The following is a 14,493-nucleotide window of genomic DNA, read 5'->3' as shown; positions in this document are numbered from 1 at the left end:
TACAACCAAATGCCTAGAACAGTGCTTGGCACGTAGTAAGCGCTAACTGAATACTTGTTGAGTGACAACGTCTCTGTGTGCCTGTATGTGCACAATGATTCATTCATTGATTCATTTGACAAGTCATCAGTTGCCTAGTTTATTCCAGACATCACCTCCCAGACAGACTCTGGGAATACAGAGGCAGAGAAAAGATCACACACGTTCCAGGTCTATTTGAGCTTTTGGCCAGCAGGAAGCCAGGCAATGCAGAATTAAAACCACGGCAAATCTGCAATGAGTTGCAGTGGGTAGTGGGTCCTTGTTCTTAGAATAGGGATGGGCTTCCAGGAAGAAGTGGTGGATATGCTCTGCCCTGACAGCTGAGTAGGCAATGGAGTGGAAGAGTGTGAGTGTTCTGGTCAGAGGGAACAGCATGCACAAAGACTGTGACATGCAAAAGAGCATGACTTATTCGAGGGACTGAAAGAAGCATGGAGGGCAAGGGAAGAGAAAGGCTCAGAGGAAACTGGAGGGTCAGTGGGCCCTGACAGCACCCGGCAGGACTCACTCAGGTATAAGGGCCCGCATGGCTGGCTGCCTGCATCTGTGCTGATTCTGTTGGCAGGAGACAGAGAGGTATGGCAAGAAGACCTCCGAAGGCAGGGTCATGACTTCAAAAGCCAGTGCAGCCAGGACTCTGTTGAGCCTCAGCTTTGCCTTGCATAAAAAGGGGATCACAGTGCTGCCTTCACATAGCAGCCAATGTGACAAACAAAGCCATCATGGATCTGAACTGCAGAAGAGTTAGAATGCTCAAGCTTAGCAGTGTGTGGCCGTGACTGAGTGGGTGTGCACATGAGTGTGCACCTGTGCTCCTACCTCCCACCAACACCATTCTTCCACCATGACAAGGCCGCTGCATCACCTGTACCAAGCTACTAAAAATACACTGGCTTCTGGACCAGAGCCAGGCTCCCCCAAAACCCTGGGGGCTGAGGTAGGGAAGGAGAGACCAGGAGGGGCTGAGAAGGTTGTGGGGTCCTCAGTCTCTGGGCAAAGTGGTCATCAGTCACTATCAGACCCTCACCACGCAAGGAATAAAGGCTACCCCTGAGATCTGGAGCTGTGCCTCCCTCATCTTATTGGGGCCTCTCTGAAGATGGAAATTTGCCTCCCTTGTTATACTGGGTGCTCCCCAAGTGCAAGAACCATTCCCCCCCACTGCCACAGCTTTTCTTCTTCAGAAAAAGAGAGAGGTTGCCGCTCTGTGACTGTGACTAATTCTGTTTAAGGGTTGGCCAGCTCCAGGGCTGTGTTCCTGGGGAGGGGTTTAGGAGTAAGGTGGGGTATCCTAGCTGCCTGTTCTCTCAGGGCCAGGGCCCCGTGGGGTCTGATGTTCAGTTCTGGGAATTCTTGGATGGAGATGCTGCTGAGAACCTGGACCATTTTAGGAGTCATCCTATCCATCCTGGTAACCTCATTCTCCAGCTCCAGTGGTCGTGAAAGATAGGCCCAGGGAAACAGAAAATCTGAGAAGTTCTGCCAGCAAGCACACATCCTGCCCACTGCCGTCAGTTTGAACTGAACAAAAAAAGTCATGTAAGAGAAGAGAATAACCAGCTGCTCATTCTCACAGGCCAAAAAAAGTGTGGGTGAGAATGCAGCAGGAAGGATTACAGTTTGATAAAAAGCAGAACTTTTTGAGGGCAGGTAATGTCCTAGATAATTTAGGCAAAAAGAGATTTTCTTCAATTATCTTTTCTACTTCCCTTTTTTTTTTTGCATTGAATTATTCATCCTTGCACTCATTCATTCGTGCAACAAGCATTGAATTATCTAGGTAACTGCTTCCATTTTCCACTTCATCTTGCTGGGTTGTCTGCTAGCCAGCAGGGCCTGGGATGGAAGTGTGTATGGCAGAGAGTGGGTGGGAAGTGGTGGTGGTGGGGAGCTGAAAGGGTCAAATGACACAGCAGAAAGGAGATAATGATGCCTGGACTCGGACTGTGGGTGCTGAGACCACTCTAATGGCTTGCTTGTCCCCCCCCACTTGTTGCAACATTGGCTCACTTGTCTCAGTCCCCCCTTTCTCTGGGCAGTGCATTTGTCCCCCAGAGACCCGTGCAGTAGCTAGCTGAGTGTTGGTGCTCTGTGATACACTGTCCCATCCTTGGGGACTGCTGGAGTATGGCAGAGCCAGCTGAATTGGTGATAAGAAGGCCTACTTTTCTTTTCATTTAAGAAGACAGAGAAGGAAAAATTTTAAAGAAATTTATGTTCCTAAAAACACACACACACACACACACAACTGGTTCATTAATCTCTTATTAAAATTCTGTGTTGAGCATGGGCAAGGAAGAAGTAAGGAAGACCCTGGGGAGGAAACGGGGAGGAAGAATACGATTCTTCCACTTGTTAGCATCGGCTGCAGGAATCAGGGGAGAGAGGCGTGTGCTTGGGGAGAGAGGCGTGTGCTCTGACAGAGAAAGATGAGGGAGGTAAGAAGGGGCTTCTTCATCATAGAACAAAAGAGTTGGGAGGGGGCTTGGAGGGCACCGCCCCCTCACATTTGGGAGAGCAAGAAAACAAGACCCAGAGAAGTAGGTGAAATTCCTGTGGCTACACAGCAAACTGATGACAAAGTCAGGGTTTGAACCCAGATATCCTGTATCCTGAGGACTGTGTGATTTCAAACTGCTTTGAATTTCAAGACTTTGGACCTTTGTCTCATTCCCCCCAGTTGGACTTTGAGCTACTGAAAGAGCTGGAGGTCAGGTCTGGAATCCCTCACATTTCTTTCATAGCACTTGGTAAGGTTTATTAATGAATGCTACTAGTAATTGATTATCATGACTGCTTGCAACCAGAGGCTGGCTTGAGGCTAGAAGCCCATCACTGGAAGAAGCTGCAGAGAGAGGGGATAGTAGAGGTGATGGAATCTGTTGAGGAGTCTGGGGCAGACAGCCCCATTTGGGCTCTGGTGCTTGTTCTGATTCCAGAACAAACTTGCAGAGTGAGCTTGGCCAGTCCCTTCCCTGTGTGTCCATTTCCTCATCCACATGAGGTTGGATTTGGTGGTTCCTCTTTCAGTGTTTTGGACATCATTATGTGCAGGGCAACAAGGTGAGACCCTGCCCGCTACTACACACTCCCCTGCTCCAGGTAGGTGGGCCAGACCCCAGTGGTGGGAGTTGGTGCCTCTCAGGGTTTCAGTTTCTGCAGCATCGCCAGCACTCACTACCAATCTCAAGTCCAGGGTCTGTCAGTTCCAGACAGGCCCCCGGCAAGGGCCTAGGAGACACCCAAGTCCAGCTCTGGTATTCCACAGTGGCCTTATCTCCCACAGCGAAGCACCAGCCGTCCTCAGAATGGATTCCAATAAAGCTCATTTCCTGCCACCAAGTTTATAACACATCCCCACCTACTGGTCTTAAACATTAACAAGGCTATGTTGTGAATACGGCTGCATGTGGCCAGAAGAAAGATGGGTGTGGGAGAGGCGAAGCAAGCATCATCCCTCACGCCCGGCAATAAAGGGGTCTCCCAAGGGCTGGTGCTTACCCTGTCCTGCTGTGTTCCTCCTGCATCTCCAAAAGGGCTCAGGGCTTGGGTGATCGGGGGATGGGGTAGGGGTGTGGACACAACCCGCAGGAGAAACTCAAGGTTGCTGGGCTGGGGATCATGGAGGTGAGGACACGTTTTGAGACCATGTATTCAGAATGACCCTGGACACTACATTTGTATCCTGTGAGACCATGTCATAACATGTCACCGGAGACACATGGGTCTTGTATGTGCCCACTCAAGGGGCATGGCATGGGCCTGCTCCATCCTCTTGCTCTCTTTGTGGTATCTCTGCCTGTCTCCTCCCCTGCCCCTCTTCTGCCCTCTACCCCAGAGCTCCCTTTTCAACTGATGCTGGGAGGGTCCCTCAATACAGAGTTGTCCTCCTACCCCATCCATTTCTTCTGAGCACCTGCTATGTGTCAAACACTGGAGAGCCATGCAAACACATAGAAGACATGGCTCCTGCCCTAAATGCAAGAACGTGGGGATCAGGAGGATTGCACAGGTAAGCATGCCCATGTATACCCCTCACACAGCAGCCTATGAGGAAAAAGTGCTAGAAAAGTAGCATGAAGTACCAAAGAAGTCATGGAAAAAGTTCATTTATTTCTATCAGGGTATGGGGACTGCTGGTGAGAAGCTAGGGGGTAATCTACGGAGGCTCCCTGGAGGAGGTGACATTTGAACTCCGCTTTGAAGGTTAAGTAAGAATTTCTGGAGGCAAAGTATTCCAGATGGAGGGGCTGGTGGGTGCAAAAGCAGAAAGGCAGGAAAGTGAGAAAAGCAATACCTCATAGGGCACACGGAGGATGGCGAGAGGCCAGTATCTTTGAAGTAAAGATGTGGATTTGGACAAGATCATAAATGGCTTTGGATGCCAGGGCAATGAGTGTGCCCTTGATCCTAGAGGCTGTGGGGAACCAGTAATTGTTCCTGAGTAGTGAGCTGACATAATCAGCCCTCTAACAGATTTATCCACCACGCTGACCCCTAAACTCCTATTCAAACTAACAGTGGGGCTGGGAGTCTCCCCAAATATTAGATACAAGAAAGTGGCCTTCACAGATGTTCCCTGGAAGAGGGCTGGAGACTGGGAACAGTGTAGAGGTGCCCAAACACACCACTCTGCCTATCTCATGGGCTGAACTGGGCCCTGAAAAGGTAGTAAGGCTCCATTCACACATGGTCTCTGTCCAGGAGTCCTGGCAGAAACTGGAAAGGGGAAAGAAAGGCCAGAGACCACGCTGCCTGTGGAAGATGGGGAATGTGAGGGAGGCAGCCCAAGGTCACCCTGCCCGGTGGCGCCAGAGTCAGACTGAAACCCAGGCTACTTGGCTCCCAGTCTGGCTGTGTGGTCAGAACCCTGTGACCTCAATTGCCTGCCAGGCACAGAAAACTGCAACTGTCCCTCTATCTCCCAGCATTTTAGAAAAGCCCCGGAACCCCAACCAAGAGTCAGTTTAAAGGGAGACTAAGTCCCCGGACCCTATTCTTAACAGAGGGAAGGGGTGGCTACGTGGGTGTCAGGCAGCCCTGGAGGAGGAGGGCAGCCCAGGCAAGATGGGGTTTTATTGTGGGGGGATTTCTATCATACTGGCCTTACCCATCTGGGGGATCCCCCAAGTTTTAAGTATCTGCTGGCACCCTTCTCTGAGGCAGGGGAGACTGAGACATGCGATGGAGAAGAGAGTTCAGGACTCAGGGAAGGAGGTTGGAAAGGAAGCCAGATAGTCAGGAGGGGAAATGTCCGCTCAGTAGGGCGATTCAGACCCTACCTCCTCAAATACCTTCTTTCTGCTCAGGCAGCCAAGCCCTCTGCCCTAGGTGTGCTGTCACTGTGTTAGGCACTGGCTGTGTGGAGAGACAGGGAATAAGCCCATGGCTCTGCCTCCACCAATCCAGGACTACTGGGGCACAGAGAGGGCACTGGTGCCTAAGGAAAAAAGGAGGCCAAGGCCAAGACCAAGGGAAGGCAGCCAGGACGCTAAGGCCCAGCTGGAACTGCGTCTTAGGAACAGGCAGGATTCTGGCAGGTGAGGAAGGGAAAGGGATCTTTAATTCCAGGCTCAGGGATCGGGAAGGTGGGCAGAGGGACCCTAATGACAGAGTTTGAGCTGCCCATCATCAGCGTTTGAGGTGACGCCATGGTTGGGCTTTGGGAAGGGAACTCCGACAGCAAGATGTAAGAAGAGGGGAAGAACCCACCTAGACTCAGGCCTGGGTTTCTGGGCTTCCTCCTACTGGGCAGGGAAACTCCCTGCCGGCCAGTGCTAGGTCACAAGTGCAGCCCATGCAGCTCCAGTGCGCAGACAGGCAGCCCACCTCCCTCTCCCCCACCTTCATTCTCAGTGTTGCACACAGAGCCTAGAGATTTCTGGTTCCCCGCTATGCTCCCACTTCGCCCCACCTCACCCTCGCCCCCCTGCTGGCTCGCTGCTCTGCCTATTCCTCCCATAGAGAACTGAGGTTAGCTGTCTCTGGTGAACTGAACGCAAAACAACCCCCCCTGGTGTTACCTCAGCCGGGAATAACCAAGCCACCCATAGAGGGAGGTCTGCCTGCTCCCCGCCCCCCTCCTAGCCCCAGGACCCTACGATTCCGAGAGCCCCTCTTTTTCTTATTCTCTCAACCTTGAGAATGCGCTTTGGTCAGGGTGAAAGAGGCCGCTGGTTAGAGACCTTGGGCACACTCCTGGCGAGCTTGAGCAGGCTCTTAGGGACTGGGCAGATCTGGGCAAGAGCTGAGCCCGGCACACCGAGGGCGCTCCACCAATGCGGAGAGCCCACTGCCCCCTCCATCTAAGCGCCCTCCATTCTGCCTGAGGCTCACCCCTCAGCGTGGAGCATCGAAACACCCCCGCCCCCCAACCCCGCCACGCCTTGCTGGTTAAGAAAATGTATCCCAGGTCGGCTGGTTTCACGTTAGGAGGGAGCAGAGGGCCCCGCTTCTCCACTCTCCTTTCGGAGCTCTCTCCCTCCCACCTCGGTCTGCTCCCCTCGCCTCCTGGAGCGTCTCCAGCTTGCGGAAGGCCCGCTGCAGCCTCCTTCCCTCTGGTCTGATTTCCCATTCTTGGGGGCTGTTCAAAAACCCGCTGCCCCCCACCCGTATGCCCGCTGTCCCACCGCCAAAGCGCGCCAACCTCAATCCCTCCTTCTCCCACCCCCTTTACCGCGGAGCCCGGGGCGAGCCTGGGGAGCAGACGCAACAGATTGCAGAATGCGAGAGCGCGGAGCCCGCTCCCTCCGCGCGCGGCCCGCGGCCCACCGCCCCGGCCTGTGCGGGTGCCCAGACCCCCGCCCTCCGGGCTCGCCTAAGCCGGCCATTTAGATGCAGCTCACAGGACCGCGGGCGTGCGAGCCGCGGCGGCTCCCCGGCCCGGAGTCAGTCCACTTCCCTTCCCGAGGACCGCCGCAGGAAGCGAGGCGACGGGCGGCGCGGCCCCGCACCGGCCTGCGCGCCCGGGGCGAGGAAAGACGCGATCCCGGCGGATCCCAACAGCCCCCAGCCCGGCCGGCTGCAGGGAGAGACGGGGGCGGGGGGCGGCCTGGACGCGATCCGGAGGATCCCTCGGATCCCTCTAGATTTCCGTGGGCGGACACGACCCCAGACCTTCGGGTTCGAACCCTTCTTTATAACCAGGAGAGGACTGGAGCGACACCCTCCCCCCACCCTTTTCTGGCGCCGGGCTCGGTCCCCTCAGCTGAGCTCGCCGGAGGGCTCGGGGGCTGGCGGTAACTCGAGCTGCAGCCAGAGACGCCAAACCCGGAGTGGCGGCTGCGAGTCCAGGGGGTGTGGGTGCTCCTCTCCCCAGTCTTCCCCGTACCCCCTCCAGTGGCGCCTGCCGCATCCTCACCCCCAGTCCGCGCCGCGACACTTACCGTGGGCGAGTAGCGCTGAGAGGCAGAGCAGGGCGGCGCCGCCGCGGCCCGACATCCCCGGGGCCATGGCCGAGGCGGGGGCGGGAGGGGTCCGAGAGAGCAACAGTCGACGACGACTTGGCCCCAGGCTGGGCTTGGTCACATCCAACTCAGGGCTGCCGTGGCGCCCGGCTGTCTCAGATGCAGCTCCGGGACCAGAGAGTGCAATTCGGGGACACTTTGCGGGGAGGGGGCGTCCCAGGCGCTGGCGGCTACACCCTCGGAGCCGGTGGGGGCGCAGCTCCGGGCGGGAGGAGCCTCCACCTCCCCCAGCTGGTGCCCCCTGCAGGATCTGCGAGGCGCGGGGGGAGCTGCACGTGCAGTCCGGAGCCCGGTGGCCGCGGGCGTCCCGGGGGCTACCTAGAGCCCAGTGCTGAATCTCCCGGCCTCACGGCCCAGCTCGAATCCGAACTCACTCGAGGGTGCCGACTTCCAACGCAATCCCCAGTTTCCTCGGTTTCGGTAGTAACCGCACATGGATAGCGCCGCTTTCTTCCTCCAAGCCCCTGCAGCAGCCCAGCATAAAAATCCCAGGTCAGGTGCAAATGAATGCTGTCTTTCTCAAAGAAAGAGAAAATCCAGACAACTTTAATCCATCTGGAGAAGGAAAAGTTTCCGTGCGGTGCTGAAACTGGCGACGCCGGTCGCCACCACCCTAGGCGACGCCCAGACCGGATGCCCGAGGCGGGCGGCCAGATGTTTGTCCCCTCGCAAGGCTCGCTCCTCCGCTCCAGCGCGCTTTCTCCAGTCTGGATCAGGGCCCAGGCTCCACACAGGCCGGCTCAGCGCCTCCTGCCCAGGCAGCCGCTCGGCGGCTGGGGCAAGGGTGGCGCGGCCAGAACGGGCTGCCCCATGTAGATGGGGCTTGGAGAAGCGAGGGAGCGAGAAAGCCGGCTAATGCGCCCTGCCCCGAGCCCTTCCTGCCCAGGACGTCGACTCCAGCTTGATGACCATAAACGCTGTAAGATGCAGAGGGGCTCCTGCAGCTCACGGCAGCTCCGGGCCACCCCGCTAAGGTCTCGCTGTCTCGGCAGAGAGGCGCGCTGCCCCGCCTCGCTCCTCGCCTTCCCTGGGGGAACCTGCACAAACCTTGAACTTTTCTGGGGTTCAGAGTCTCCGACGCCTCCTCCCCGCCGCCCCCACCCTGTCCCCGGACGCCCGTTCGCCCGCTGTCTCGATGCTGCCGGGCATCGGCTCCCGCTCCCTCCGAGTCAGTTTGGGCGAGCGGATCGCCGCGCCAGTCCGGGCTGCGGGCGGTGAGACGCGGGCGCGGCGCCAGGGGCCAGGGCAGCCGGCACCTGCGCAGCTTGCGGCCAGGGAAGCGGCAGCTGGTGCCTACGGGGCCGAGAGGAGAGGAGGTGCTGGCAGGGGAGCCGGCTCCCCATGGACGTGTGTGGGGGAAGAAGAAGAATCGAGGAGCAAAAAGGAAGAGGAGGTGGGGGAAGCCACAGTTGCACGAAGCAGCCGCCGCCGCCGTCGCCGCCTCCTCGGCGCTCGCGCCGGCTGCTCCGCCGTAAATGACTCGAGAGAGACACACACACTCGCGCTCGCCCGCCCTCCTCCTCCGTCCGGGATTCAGCGCCCACCCGGGCAGAAGCGGGCGCCGAGCTTGGCGCGCTCACTCCCACCCCTCCCAGATTCCCCGTGGTCACGTGGCCCCCGAGCGCGCGGCCCACAGCTCGCGCGCCACGGAGACTCCCCGACTCCTAGCTCCCCCTCCTCTGTCCACGTGTCCATTCCGCATTCCTAGCCTGGCGGCGCGCGCGGCTCCTTAATGAGACTCGGGCCAAGGGCCGACCTCGCGATTCCGCTCGCCCCTATTTTATGTTTGATTTTTCCTTCCCAACGCCGGCTAGCGCTGGGACCCGAATGGGGCCGGCCAGCTGCGGCGGGAGGAGCCTCCACCTCCCTCAGCTGCGTTTCTCCAGGGTAGACGCCACCGCAGTCACTGATGTCCCTTTTCAAAGGATGCACGCTCCCCACCGGGCGCCGGAGGTGTTTTGCAGCCGCTCTTCCAGAGGCGCGGGTAGGGGGCACCCTACCCCCACCCCCAGAGTTCGCTGGGCACTGGCTGGGAATCAGCCTCGCTGCTGTGCCCAGCTCCTCTCGGGCCGCGGGGGCTCTGGGGCTCAGCTTCGTGCGGGATGGGTCCGGGGCGCAGCTGTGGGAAACCTATTTATTCTGTTGCTGGGGAAGGAAGACGGAGAAGAGGAGGGGACAGTGCTTTCCTACAGGTTGTTTAGCAAGCCTTTAAAGAGGCATGAGGTGGGGGTGGGGAACTGCCCCTCTTGCATACTCACCCAGGCACCTGCTGACTAGCGGGAGGGGTGGCTGGAGTGATATCTGTTCCCACCATCAGGCCCTTTCCATTAGAGTGCAACCTAGATCAGACCCGGCAAGTCAACCTTCACACCTCATCTGTCAACCAGGCATCGGATCCATGGCAATGATTTTATAGCTTCGTTGGGTATCAACTCCAATCCCCAGAGGGTGAATTTCAATCCTACCCTGCTCTGGAGGGACAGGGTCTTCAATCCCATGGACATATCCCTACTGGGGAGGATATGGATCTTGAGGGTCACCCTTCCATACCTCTGCACTCAACTGGAGTGAGAGTGTGGGGCCAGGTCAGAGCAAAGCCAGCTGGGGCACTCAAACCGTGCCCTCCATCTGCCTGACTCCATGCTAGCCCTCTTGACCCTGAGAGTTTCCTTTCATCTAGGACGGTGACATTTTGTTTTTGGAAAATGTGCTTGCATTTTTCATGGAAGGCTTCCTCCTCCCTGGCTGCTGGCTGTTGCTGCCTCGCTTGGTACTGGGGCCTGTAGAGGGCTGCTCTGGCCCTTCCCCCACCCCTACATCTGTCTGGAGCTGGGGGGAGGTGCAGCCTGAGGAGAGCTGGCCAGCTCTTGGAGGCCCTGGGGATAGAAGGTGCTGGAGTCGTCAAAGAAGATTATTCTCATTAGGCCCCTAATGCCTGATGGCAATTAATGTCACCCAAGGGCTTATTCACCAACCCCCTGAGAAGCAAGCTAGCAATCAGGCTCTGTGTGGGGGAGAAAGGGGGAAAGATCCACCTCCTGAGGCAGAGGAGGGCTTCAGGAAGAGGAGGAAGGAAGCAGGGAGGGCCCTCCATCCCTGCCCAGCACCCCATCAGAAGGGTCATGGAGCCTGAGCATGGCCAGAAGGAAGAGACAAGGTGCTTTTCTGAGCCCAAGACACACCTTACCCTGTGTTGTGGATCAAATTTCCTTTCTCCTCAAATGTTCCCAGTTGACGCTAGGGTCTGAGGGGCAGCAATGTTGCATCTCTCCCAGCCATCTGTGGAAATAGCACAGTGTTCTGGTCAGGGTGGGCAGGGACTCAGACATAGAATTCTTCTCTCTGCAACCCCATCTCACCCCACCCCATAGCTCTTATGTGACCTTCCTTTGTGATTCAGTTTCTCCTCCTCCCTCCCTGTCTCTGTCCCTCCCTTTCACAGTAGTATGGTGCATATCTCCAACATCACAGGCATTGTAGGTACAACAGTGAGCAGGACAAAACCAGCTCTTGTCCTCATGGAACTAACTTTCTAGAGGGGAAGGCAGACACTAAGCTTCTAATTGCTTGCAATTGTGGTGTGATTTGGCATCATGCACTTCGCTCATCTTATGGAGAAGACTGAGGCCTGTGGTTGGAAAGGGCGAGGGAGCAGCCTGCTATCTTTAGAGAACACAGTTTCAGCCTCAAGTTCTTCCTGTACCTCCGATATGGATCTACCCTTCCTGGATTGAAGCCTTGTGCCAAGTCCATGGGCCTGATGATCCTCTGACTCTCCAAATGCCAGATTTTCCTCCTCCTTGCCTCAGGGAAGTGAAGGGCAGCCGATAGCCCACCTGGAGAATAAAATATGACTACAACCTGCAGTGCTCCATGGACCTGTCATTCTCAGCAGTGTAAATCCTACTGCTCAGAGAGAAGGCAGTTGGCACAAGGTAGACAGCCAGTTGTTTCAGCTATTCCAATCCTGCATGTCATTTACCTGGAAAGGGGTTCTATACATTCCCTCTGCCTTTCCTACTACCCCAGCAGACTGCCCTCGGTCTCACCTGTTAGTCCTAGTTACGGATTCCCAAACAGCAATGCCACTGGAGCTTAGATAAGGGGAAGTCAGAGGAGCCACCCCAACTGGAGCCCGGGCTGGAGAGAGGACCTGGCATGTGTGTACTCTTCTATCCCAGATGAGCACCTTATCAACTTAAGGTGGTAGTGTCTCTGCTGTTTCCATTCTGTTTGTGTCTTCTGGACAGAGGATTGGCAATGGTTGGAGGTTATCTCAGTCACCAGTTCCCAGGTGATGCCTGGAAGAACCCTGTCCTCCTGCCAAGAAGCCAGGCAGCAAGTGGGGTTCTGTCCCAGGCCCCGGTGCCCTACATGGATGCTTATCAAGGACCCATACATAAACTGGCACCCACTTCCTCCCATGCCTGACCTGCCCTCATGATAGGCCAGGTGACATCTGTCCTTCAGCATGCCTCTGTTTTTCAGAATGTCTACCATCAGGAGACAATCAGATGAGCCAATGTGGAGCATCATGAAGACATGTTCCTGGGATCATCCTGGAATCCGACTCTGTCTCAGCTCAAGGGGGTTCCGAGATTTCCTAAGCTAGCCCTCTCATTTTACAGCTGCAAAAACGGAGGCCTGTTAATTCAGTCATTTTATGAAATCCTTTGAAATTTTTATTGAGCTCTAATTGTGTGTGAAGTATTATGGAATGCTTCTGTACTGGAATGCATAGGTTGAACAAGACAGAAAGGCCCAGATGGCAGAAGTTCAAGAGCTTTCACCAACCCATATAGAGAACCTAGTAATATTAATGACTAATGTTAATGAATCCATGCTTTTTACGTGCCAGTCACTGTGCCCAGCATTTTGCATGCATTATCTGAGTCCTCACTACAACGCTGTTACGTAGGTACTGTTATTATAACCATTTTCCAGATGAGAAAACTGAGGCTCAGTGAAGGCAAGTTTCTTGCCTAGGGTCATAGAGCTATAAAGTAGCAGAGTCACAGCTCAAAAGCACATATATGTGATTCCAAAGCTCAGATACGTAACCCATTTAGCCACTTTCACTGTGATATGCAAGGGCCCAGGATTTCATATATAGCAAAGCTATCATTTCTGGGTGGACATGTTTAGGGGCAGTGGGGTACCAGGCATAAATAGGCTGTTCAACACGGGGAGGGCAGTGTGTGAAGGAGGCCAGCACAGGGGCTCTGGGAACACAGGCACCTCTGATGAGAAAGTAGTGTTCTTTCTGCAGTACTGTTCTGAGTAGCTCAGCCTCTTGTTCCCCTTCCCCAGCACCCAGATTCACACCTACATGCTGTTAGACATTCACCCCATTTAGTACACAGTTATGCATACACGTGGCTATTGTAGCAATTGTCGAACTTTCACCCTGCAGCTGGGCTGCTTTGCCTTCCCCTGTAGGCTGAGCTCCCAGCTTAGATTCCAGCACCAATAGCTATTTGTGGGACAGGAGAATGTCAGCAGTGAAGGGCAGCATGATGGCCAGCATGTGGCTTTCCCAAGCAGAGACCTGGGTTCCAGTCCTAGAAGGCAAGGCAACTGTATTAGTTTGCTCATGCTGCTGTGACAAAATACTACAGACCAAATGGCTTAAACGACAGAAGTTTTTTTTTCTCACCGTTCTGGAGGCTGGAGTCCAAGATCAGCGTGCTGGCAGGGTTGGTTTCCCCTTAGGACTCTTTCCTTAGCTAGAAGATGGACACCTTCTTGCTATGTTTTCACATACGGTCATTTTTCTGTGTTCATGAATCATGGTTTATCTTCCTCTTCTTATAAGGACGCTAGTCATATTGGATTTGGGCCCCATGAAAATGGTTCATTTTAACTTACTCACCTCTTTAAAGACGTTAGCTCCAAAGATTGTTGTATGCTGAGTTACTTGGGGTTGGAACTTCAACGTATGAATTTTGGAGGTAGAAGATATATTTGAGAGTAAAAAGGGGTTCTGTTAACCCATTTATGCCTGAGGTTGCAATTTTTTGAAGTTTTGCAATCAGATCTTGGCAATGACCTGGAGCGGTAGGATATAAATAATTCCCACATGCTTAGCATTCCAATAATGGAACACTAGGCATAAATGGGCTAAAAATTACTTTGGAGCAGCAGTCTTAAATGGACCATTTAGGGCAAACTGGAACATATGGACACCCTAACATTCTGGCCCCATCACTCACTCTACAGCCATCTTCTTTTAAACCACTGCACCTCTCTGAGTCTCAGTTTCTTCATCTGTTGAATGGAGATAATCATATCAACTCCCCCAAGCAGGCACTTTTAAAATACTAGTAAATGCATACTGATTACCTGACAGTACTGAGCACCACTGCATGCTCTGTAAAGGTTAACCATTGCTATTATTGAAACCAAACTGCTCACTGAGGTCTATGGGCCTATGTGATTTGACCCCTAGCTGCTTTTCCAAATTCATTTCTTCCCCCTTCCCCCTTCTCCCTTCTATTTTATTACACTGGCACCACAAAGGCCGCCCAGCAGTCATATATCAAGCACATTCCTGCCTCAGGGCCTTTGTACCTGTTGTTCCCTCCACCTGGAATGTTTTCCCCTAACCCCTTGCTCCTTTACTTCATTCAGGTTTTTGCCCAACTGCCACTTCCTCAGAGATACCTTCCGAGATATATGATGAGCTGATATAAAATAATGCAACTATTGTTCTACCTCCATTGCTTTATTCTTTTATGCTACTTTAATTGGATTCATAGCAGTTGGTATTTTATTTTAGAATTGCCTGTGTATCTATCTGTCTCTTCTGATAGAATGTAAGCTCCCCAAGGGCCAAGATTCTGTATGAACCATTCACCAACGTATCCCCAGTGCCCAGAATGGTGCCTGGCATATGTGCTTAACAAAATAAACTGACTGGATTATTTATCCATATTCACTTACTTCAGTAACTGGGTCTTTGATTTTACCCAGTCCCGATAATTGG

The 14,493-nt window shown here is 54.3% G+C and overlaps 1 protein-coding gene and 1 long non-coding RNA gene across 2 annotated transcripts in view, besides 2 other annotated features; one reads left to right on the top strand and one right to left on the bottom strand.

The window, feature by feature from the left end:
* TMEM132E (transmembrane protein 132E) overlaps positions 1 to 8,989 on the bottom strand; it is a 59,737-nt gene extending 50,748 nt beyond the window's left edge. The window contains exon 1 of the mRNA NM_001304438.2: positions 7,428 to 8,989. Coding sequence (NP_001291367.1) covers positions 7,428 to 7,494 — 67 coding nt within the window. The 5' untranslated portion in view covers positions 7,495 to 8,989. The remainder of the gene's footprint in view (positions 1 to 7,427) is intronic.
* Positions 8,965 to 9,500: an enhancer, noted in NCBI's record as "H3K4me1 hESC enhancer chr17:32906090-32906625 (GRCh37/hg19 assembly coordinates)". NCBI's record gives its function as "activates a minimal SCP1, AML or CMV promoter by ChIP-STARR-seq in naive H9 embryonic stem cells {active_cell/tissue: H9 hESC(naive)}" and the evidence as "EXISTENCE:reporter gene assay evidence [ECO:0000049][PMID:30033119]".
* On the top strand, positions 9,202 to 14,448 carry TMEM132E-DT (TMEM132E divergent transcript). The gene is made up of 2 exons (NR_160787.1): positions 9,202 to 9,700; positions 10,951 to 14,448. It is a non-coding gene; the product is annotated as a TMEM132E divergent transcript (long non-coding RNA).
* Positions 9,501 to 10,037: an enhancer, noted in NCBI's record as "H3K4me1 hESC enhancer chr17:32905553-32906089 (GRCh37/hg19 assembly coordinates)". NCBI's record gives its function as "activates a minimal SCP1, AML or CMV promoter by ChIP-STARR-seq in naive H9 embryonic stem cells {active_cell/tissue: H9 hESC(naive)}" and the evidence as "EXISTENCE:reporter gene assay evidence [ECO:0000049][PMID:30033119]".
* Positions 14,449 to 14,493: the final 45 nt, after the last annotated feature.

The sequence above is a fragment of the Homo sapiens genome, chromosome 17 (assembly GCF_000001405.40).
Source record: "Homo sapiens chromosome 17, GRCh38.p14 Primary Assembly".
NCBI lineage: Eukaryota > Metazoa > Chordata > Mammalia > Primates > Hominidae > Homo > Homo sapiens.
This window is presented reverse-complemented; position numbering and strand designations above follow the sequence as displayed.